At 41.6% G+C, this 9,281-nt stretch overlaps 2 annotated features.

Moving 5' to 3' along the window:
• Positions 8,054 to 8,133: an enhancer, noted in NCBI's record as "active region_2986". NCBI's record gives its function as "activates an Ori minimal core promoter by ATAC-STARR-seq in GM12878 lymphoblastoid cells {active_cell/tissue: GM12878}" and the evidence as "EXISTENCE:reporter gene assay evidence [ECO:0000049][PMID:35858748]".
• Positions 8,204 to 8,263: an enhancer, noted in NCBI's record as "active region_2987". NCBI's record gives its function as "activates an Ori minimal core promoter by ATAC-STARR-seq in GM12878 lymphoblastoid cells {active_cell/tissue: GM12878}" and the evidence as "EXISTENCE:reporter gene assay evidence [ECO:0000049][PMID:35858748]".

Here is a 9,281-nt window from a genome sequence, read left to right on the forward strand (position 1 = left end):
TTGTTTGATTGCTGGTTAGTCTGGAAACTGTCAATTTTATATTAACAAGTCTTAACAGGAACTATGGTAATAGGCAAACCAAATGGATATAATACTTTTTTTTTTCTCTTTTACTTTCCAAACTATTTTATTTAAAAAAAACCTGCAGTGCAGTATTAAAAAGCAATACATTCAGCAGGAGTGACAACCAACAGAAACAAAGGGAGGAGGGTACAGAATACCAGGGACCCTACCTCAACTGATCCCCAGGTCTGGAGGCCAGGGGCAGACTGGGAAGGAGCACGGGTGGTGGGGAAGGGAGAAAAGGGCACCCACCAAAAAGGAAAAGGCAGAACAAAACATTTATATAGGAAATGTCTAGTTGAACTCGAGGATCTTGGGGAGATGGAAAAGCACCTTTTTTTCCCCAAAAATAATGGATATAATACTTTAGATAAGGCGTTTGCGTATCGCAACATGATTTTTCACAAGATCCATCAGGCATGTTATATAGAAATTTAAAAAATTTTGCTCTAAAATGGGCATAGGACCAAACACACATGTTTATTTGCTTAAAGTGCAAACAATTGTCTTCTATATTAAACCATAGAGAGGCTAAGAGGTTTTCCAAGGAACCAAAGAAGTCACATGTGTAAGAGTTTGTATCATTATATGATTGAAAATAGGAGAGTTTATTCTATTTGATTTGAGATTTTGGTCTAGCAGTCTTGTTAAAACTTATTTTGTTTCTATGCTTTCTTACCATAGGGCTGATACTACACATATAAAAAGAATCAACCCAGGAAATCAAAGAAATCTACTCTATCTCCCAGCCTCTATTTTCTAAATGTTTTAATATTTCAGTCAAGGTTGTTTGCTTAAGCAAACGAGTGGATGGTGATTTCCTTGAATGAGATGATTATGGGAAGATAGGCTAAGATGGGAAAATCAAAAGTTGTCTCTCTCTTTCTCTTTCTCTCTTCCTTCCTTCCTTCCTTCCTTCCTTCCTTCCTTTCTTTCTTTCTTTCTTTCTTTCTTTCTTTCTTTCTTTCTTTCTTTCTCTCTCTCTCTCTCTCTCTCTCTCTCTCTCTCTCTTTCTTTCTTTCTTTCTTTCTTTCTTTCTTTCTTTCTTTCTTTCTTTCTTTCTTTCCTTTCTTTCGAAGAGGTCTCACTGTGTCACCCAGACTGGAGAGCAGTGGTGTGGTCTCAACTCACTCCAACCTCCACCTCTTAGGTTCAAGCGATTCTCATGCCTCACCCTCCTGAGTAGGTGGGACCATATGCCCCCAAGCCTGGATAATTTTTGCTTTATTTTGTAGAGATGGGGTTTTCCTATGTTGGCCAGGCTTGTCTTGAACTCCTGACCTCAAGTGATCCACGTGCCTCAGCCTCCCAAAGTGCTGGGATTACAGGCATGAGCCAATGTGCCTGGCCTTCTTTTTTTTTTTTTTTGAGACAGGGTCTCACTAGGTTGCCCAGCCCGGAGTGCAGTGGCTATTCATAGGTATGATCATGGTGCATTGGAACCTTCAACTCCTGGGCTCAAGAGATCCTCCTGCCTCAGGCTCTTGAGTAATTGGGACTATAAGCACAAGCCACTGTGACCGGCTCATGAGTTGTCATTTGAACACATTAATTTTGAGTGTCTTTAAGACATCCAGTTGGAATTGGATAGGAAGCCAGGGCTAGAGATCTGAATTTGGGAGTCATCACCATGTAGATGATATTGAAAATTAAAGTTCTGTATCAGAACACCCAGGAAGAGATGTGGTAAAGGTAAAAGCACCTAGGACTTGTCTGACTTCAATCTTCTTCTTCATATAGCATAACATACCCCCTGTGACTACAAGGATGCAAGATGGAAAAACACAACTCTAGAAGCCTGGGCTTACTCTGCCTGGTCTTCAGTCTCTTTCGAGGCCATTTGTCATAATGAGCTCACGATAGAATCTCCAGGTGTGTCAATGACAGGTGGCTCTTTTGGACAGTAAAATGCTATGGGAATAAGAGCAGGGAGAGCCCAGGGGAGTGCAAGGAGGCGGAAAAGCAGCAGGTTGTGTTACTATGTGGACGAGAGGAAATGAATGAACCCAGGCGACAGACCAAAGCTGAGTTGCAGAAACCTTGACCCGGAGTTCTCACATAGCAACCTGGATCGTGGTCCAGGACCACTCTGAGACTCCTGAATGACAAGTAATCAATCCACAACATATTGATTTATTTACTGAGCACCTGGTGGATGTTCAGGTATTGAGTCTTTCCTGGTTCCACCAGAAGAGTTTTGAGAACAAAATAGACACCCTCATCCATGCTTTGGCAAAAAAGAGTTTCATTTCTTTTTCTTTCTTTTATTTTTTTGATTTTTTTTTATAAGAGATGGGGGTTTTGCTATGTTGATCAGGCTGGTCTCGAACTCCTGGCCTCAACTGATCCTCCCATCTCGGCCTCCCAAAGTGCTGGGATTACAAGCATGAACCATTGCATCCCACCTCATTTCTTGAATATGTTGTGGGATTCAAGTTGTCCTAGAGTTGGAGAAGGCCAGAGAAGGACAAACACAAATATCGAAGTGTAATTTTGGTGACATTTGCCCCACTCATCATGGGGATATGTTTCTGAAGTTCAGAGCATCAACACTAGAGTATTTGCATTGTGTTTTTGATGGTTCTGATGTTATCATGCAGATATATTGCCGCTTTTTCTTTTAACAGCTGAATTGAGAATATTTTATTGCTTACAAGGAACATAAAACTATTAAGATCACTATTAAGATTAAATGCTTAAGCACTTACCTGTTCACAAAACTCATTCTGTTAGCTTCCTTCAGACACATAGTAGGTGCACAATGTATGTAGGCTGAGCAAAGTAATGACAAGTTGGGTTGGTCAAAATAATTTTGTTTGGACAGAGTCTTTGCCTGAAAATATTAGAAAACATAACAATATTGGGATGAAGCAATGTGAAGGAAAAAAACAGAAAATAGCACAGAAACATATTAAATGAAGAAACTAACACTATAAATCCCAGCATTCTGGGAGGCCAATTGGGGAGGATTGCTTCAGCCCAGGAATTCAAGACCAGCCTGGGCAACATAGTGAGACCCCTTCTCTAAAAAAAAAAAAAAAATAACTAGGAGTGGTGGCACACACCTGTAGTCCAGCTACTTGGGAGGCTGAAATGAGAGGATTACTTGAGCCCAGGAGACTGAGGCTGTCATGAGCTATAATCATGCCACTGCACTCTAGCCTTGGTGACAGAGGGAGACCTTGTCTCAAAAAAAAGTTTCTTTTCTTTTTGCTTTTTTTTTTTAATTCTTCACAAACAGCATTCCCATTAAGCCTAAGTGCAGGGAAAACTGCAAATTATATCACGGTAAATTCCAGAAGGAGATTCCCCAGAACAGAAAGGGTAGAATGGGAGAATTGGCTAGCCATGTTTCTATGAGGCTGGGAAGCCTTTCTAGAGACGTTCAGATTTTAGGAGCTTCTTGAATAAACATCCAGTGCACTTTATTTTGATTTCTGATCTGGTGACTGGTTTCCAAGAATTGGGTCAGGTTGTCCTGCCATGTGCTTCTCTCTTTGGACATATTCATTTCTGTTTCCTCACTGGGTTCTTCTGTTGATCAGATGTAAGACCTCTGTTTTCACTCTAATCACACATCTTGGATTTCTGCTCTCCTTGCACCTTATCCTGTTTTCTGTTTCTACCTTATGATGACCAGTTCTTTATTGCCCAGTGGCCATTCATGTTTCATGTGTGCCAACGTGTGGCAGTAACGCCGGCTGAAATTTACTTAGTACCCTATCTCAGAAGAGATCAAAGTACTTTTACAAACAGTATCTTGCTAATCTTCCATATACCATTGTAGAGTAAATAGGAAACAGCTATTATTATCCTTATTTTACACATGAGGAAATGGGAGCTCAAAGTGATGAAATGGTTGGCTCTATGGTACAAGTACACAGTGGGCTAGGTGTGGTGCTGTGTGTGTTCATTTGGTAGGTTCTTGTGACTTTCTAGGCAGATAGTCTTTCTTGCTAAAGCTATATAGGGAGACAAGAACATCAGAGCTTGTTTTCCTTTTTTCCCATTAGATTCGTACTAATTTTTTTTTGTAGTCTTTGGCCTATTGCCTTAGGTGGTGTTTATTTTTCAGGGGAGCTGTTTATAGTATGAGCTTGGACTCGAATATTGCTGAGATGTGAGCAAGTTGCATATCAGAATCAAATCCATGGCTAGGACTTATTTTTGGTTTGGGAGATCTCTGAGAAAAGAGTGATTCTTCATCAGAAAGTGACTCTCTTGAGAGGCAGGAATGGGAGAAATCGTCTCTCATGGTTCCCCGTATCTTTATGCTTTTTGGACTCGTAATAACACTTTGGGGTGAATTTCAATGGGTCAATACCCTTGTGACAGAGATACTTAATGGGAAATTGTGATCCTGAGCTTTCTGTTGGCAATGGGCTGTAGCCTATCAAATCACTGGCTTATTTGTTATGGTTGCTAAATTATGTTTTTGGAGAAATTCAGGACCTGCTTTGCCTGAGGACTTTTAAAACAGTGCTCAAAGTCGAAGGAGCTTTATCTTGAAATGTTTTATTGGATGTTCTGAAACACCCTTATGCAAGAATGATGAAGGCCAGGTATGTGTAGGGTAAGGTGTGGTCTTCGTACAGTTGCCAAGTGAGACTTGCTTTTTTCTTTTTTTAAGTTTTGTTGAGACTTGGGCAATCATGATTTGGTTTTCTTCCAGGTCAATCTGCAACATACTCCCTAAATAATCTTGCATTCTCTCAGGGCTGTGGCACTTCACTTGGGCTATGTAGATCTGACAACACATTCAGACTGAGCTGTCATTCTCAAGTAAGAGGGCACAGTCATGTATCCCTAAAAGGTCTATGGGGATGTTACTCAACATTGGCTGCTCCAAGAATGGGGAATGCTGAATTTTCCAACTCTTCCATGAGCCATTTGTAGGCTGCTTTTACAAATCTGGGATCATGTCAGCTGGATTTCAGATAACTGGATTGATTATCTAGTAAAATAGATAAAAACTGAACTGGGGAGAAAGTGAGTGGGTCAATCGGCTCTGTAGTTGGCTATGAAAGGCTAGCAACAGAATGGAAATATCGCAGTGGCTTTACCACTCTCCTGGGCTAGCTGCTTAGGTTCCAAAGCCTCAGTTTCTTCCTTCATAAGTGGATATTCCTGTCCTACTTATTGGGCAAGAAATGTGAGGATTAGATGATACACTACATGTGAAAGTCCCTCATACACTGATAAAGCTCTGTAGGGATCACTGATGATATCTGTAAAATAGGAATAAAGATATCCAGTTGGTAGGATTGTTGCAAAGACTAAATGAGATAACCTATATAATGCTCCTAGCATATTGCTTTACACATGGCAATAAACAACATGTAACCTCCCCCACAACTTCTTTTTTTTTTTCCTTTTCAAAACTCTGATGTTTATTACTTTTACCCTCACTTTGACTGTTTTTTGAGCTATAGGAGAAGCTAGAATTTGTAGTTCGGTCTTTGACCTGGGTTGCTCCTTCCATGGGTTCGTTTCCTTTGGTTTCCTGCGCTGGATCAGGCGTTGGTTCTCAAGTATGGATATTTAGGGCTTCAGTTCCTATGCTCCTGGATCTCCTGGCTCCAGAGTTTCTCGATCAGATACCAATGCCTCCTGGCAGAGCTGTCACTGCTGAGATCAATCACTTTTTCTTCTACGATCTCATGATGCATACAGAGGCTTTTAGAATTTAGCCCTTATTTTATCCTAATTTTTTTTTTTTTTTTTTTTTTGGAGACATGGTCTCACTGTCACCCAGGCTGGAGTTCAGTGGTACAATCTCGGCTCACTGCAGCCTCGGCCTCCTGAGCTCAAGCGATCCTCCTACCTCAGCCTCCCAAGTAGGTGGGATTACAGACGCACACCGCCATGCTCGGCTAATTTTTTTTGTATTTTTTGTAGAAACAGAGTTTCACCATGTTGTCCAGGCTGGTCTGGAATTCCCGGGCTCCAGCGATCCTCCCACTCCAGCCTCCCAAAGTGCTGGGATTACAGGTGTGAGCTGCTGTGCCTGGTCTATCTTGTCTAACTTGTATCTAATCTCTAATTTTCTATTGTAAACTCCATGATGGCAGGGACCATGTTTGTTTATTTTTGAATGCTACACAGCATCTAGCTTAGTTTCTGGCACACAATAGGCATGCAATACAAATGAATGGGCAAATGCAGGAGTGAATGAAACTAGCAACTATCAACCCCCTCAGTGTGGTTGCTTATAGATATCACTTTCTGGGATATTCTGTTAAAGCCAGTGACAGGCTTTATTTATGTTTTTCAGTCATGCAATCTGTTGGTGGCTAAGGGAGGGTCTCATCACAATGATCTCTTGAAATGGTAATATTCTGATCACCTGCTATTTTGAATAGTGTTCCATAACTTCTGCTCTGGTGACTCATTATGACTTAGTCTCTATCCTGCCAGAAAAGTTAGTTTCATTCGTTGAAAAAAAAAATGAGTCCAGTTGGTGACTCAGATCCGTCCGACTAGTTGTTCGGTTGCATGTAGGTGAAACAAACTGGTCGACTGGGTTTTCCATTTTTGAACTGGTGGTTTTGATCTCGGCAGAGGTAGACTCCATGTGACTCAAAGTAGCATTGGAAGGGATAATTCTGCCTGGTGGTCAGAAGACAGGATTAGAAAGAAACAGGAGGACACTTGAATTACACATCCAACCCAGCCACCACCTGGCCTTCGGCAGGTTACGCAAATTTCCTTGTCAGATATTTCCTGAAATAGAAAGGGGAAGTAGTGGATGGGATAATAGCAATGCTTCTGAGAATCTGTGCCCCACTGTGGGTATAAGGTGTACCTGTTGCTCAGGGACATGGTAAAATACTCTGAAGTGTGCAGTGCTATGAAGGGAATGGGGCTCTGTTTCTTATCTCTTTACTCCTTAACTTGCACTTGCCTACACCCCCTGCTTGCCACTTTCACTGGGTTCCAGGACCACTAGGCTACTTAAAGTACTTAGAAAGAAACTTTATCTGAGGCTGGTCCGAGTGCAGAGTGTCAATTGATCACAACCAGTTGCAGATCTCTTTTCTTTCTTTTTTCTTTTATTTGGGTTTCAGACAGGATCTTGCTCTGTTGCCTAGGATGGAGTGCAGTGGCACGATCACAGGTCACTGTGGCCTCAACTTCCTGGGCTCAAGCTATCCTCCTGCATCAGCCTCCCGAGTAGCTGAGACTATAGGCACATGCCACCATGTTCGGCTAATTTTTTAATTTCTAGTAGAGATGAGGTCTCACTGTGTAGCCTGGCTGGTCTTGAACTCCTGAGATTAAGGGATCCTCCCACCTTGGCCTCCCCAAGTGCTGGGATTATAGGCGTGAGCCACCACGCCCGGCCCATTACAGGTTTCTTTGTTCCATCTTTATGCCCACTATATCACTTGACTAGCCAAAAAACCCCAAAGAAATGAACATTATTTGAAAAATAATATGTATGACAGAGTAATATTGTGTCCTTATTTAGGAAAAAAAAATCTTTATTTGAAAGCTTTATTTTTTCTTTTTCTTTTTTTCTTTTTTTTTTTAAGACAGAATCTTATTCTATTGCCCAGGCTGGAGTACAGTGGTGTGATCTCGGCTCACTGCAACCTCTGCCTCTCAGGTTCAAGTGCCTCAGCTTCCCAAGTAGCTGGGACTACAGGAATGTGCCACTGCACCCAGCTAATTTTTGTATTTTTTGTAGAGATGAGGTTTCACCATGTTGGCCAGGCTGGTCTCAAATTCCTGACCTCAGATGATTAGCCCCCCTTGATCTCTTAAAGTGCTGGGATTATAGGAGTGAGCCACTGTGCCCAGCTGGAAGCTGTTATTGTCTAATATGCCACCATTATGACAAGTATGCCTGGGTGCTGTGCTTACAAAAGCAATACTACACATAATGTATTGCTGAAGACCCTGTTTTGAATGCTCACAGATAATAAGTCATTTAAAATTTCATAGTTAGTAGATAGCTTGAGGAAAAAAGGAGGGAAGAGAAACAAAAACGAAAACAAAGATTCACTAGTGCTTCGGTGTTTTAGAGACTTAAGCTCCGAGCTTTCGTCTCTGAGAATAATCCATTTTGGAGGTTCCCTCCAGCCTTCTTCTCTTCCCTTCCCCGATCTTTTCTTTTTTTCTTCTATTCTATTTCTTCCCGTCATCTTTTTCTCCTCCTGGTATCTTTCTTTTTCCTTCTCTTGGGGTAATTGGAGAGGGAGGATGTGGTCAGAATTGATGAGGTGAGAACGATTCCAGTTCCCTTTTTCCTCCACCTCAAACCCGTAGCAGATGTGAAGCTTAATCACATCATCTCAGCCCAGACCACGAATGGAAACTCCAGAAACCTCAGTCTAGGGACATTATGGCCACAACCACACTCTCAGTGGCAGAATCATTCTAGAAAGCATTCTGACCATAAATGTCGGTCATGTCGGTTAGAAATTCATCTACAGAGCAGTGAAGAAGGCACCACAAGAATTTGTTGGTGTTCGTTGATCACATCAACATGTGAATGAACCATCCTGATTTGGTAGGGGAGCAGAGTCCTCCAAGCCGAGAATCTTAGCGTGCTGTTATTCACTGCTGTTTCCGTCCACTCCTTGCATTTCTAGTTTGAGTGCCATTGTTTGTGTGGTGACACCAAAAAGGGAAACTGTGTACTCGGGAAGGGACTGGTCTTAGAAATAATGATATTCCTTAGCTCAGCGTAACTTGCGTGGTGACTTGGATTCTATAATCTTGAAGAAGATGATCATTGTGTAGTTTTCTAATTGATCAAAAGACAGGAAGATGATGAGGACAGAAGGCCGTGAGTTGTGCCTGTGTAATACACCAGCTTATCATTGAGATTTGGGTTCATTTTCACCACTTTTATTCATACCAATTTCTAAGCTCAGGGGAGCTTACGCTCATTTCCAAGAGACACCATCACTTCTGATGTGATCATGTCTAGAACCAAGAAACTGGTCTCATTAACATCCTCACAGGAGATCAGTGGTCTGACAATGTATCTTGGTATCGGTTGATTTGGGCACTGAACACATGTAGATCTGGATCAGAGAGCCATAGTGTAATTCACTCTTGGAGAGACCTCAGGTAACAGATGGAGAAACAATGTCACCAAAGGATACTCTTTATGATGACTTGCTTTTCATTCCTGAAAGCAAGCTTGAGCTTGATGGTAAGGCTCCTAATTTTATAAAACAAGGAATTTGCAATAGATCAGGTCGCTT

The sequence above is a fragment of the Homo sapiens genome, chromosome 10 (assembly GCF_000001405.40).
Source record: "Homo sapiens chromosome 10, GRCh38.p14 Primary Assembly".
NCBI lineage: Eukaryota > Metazoa > Chordata > Mammalia > Primates > Hominidae > Homo > Homo sapiens.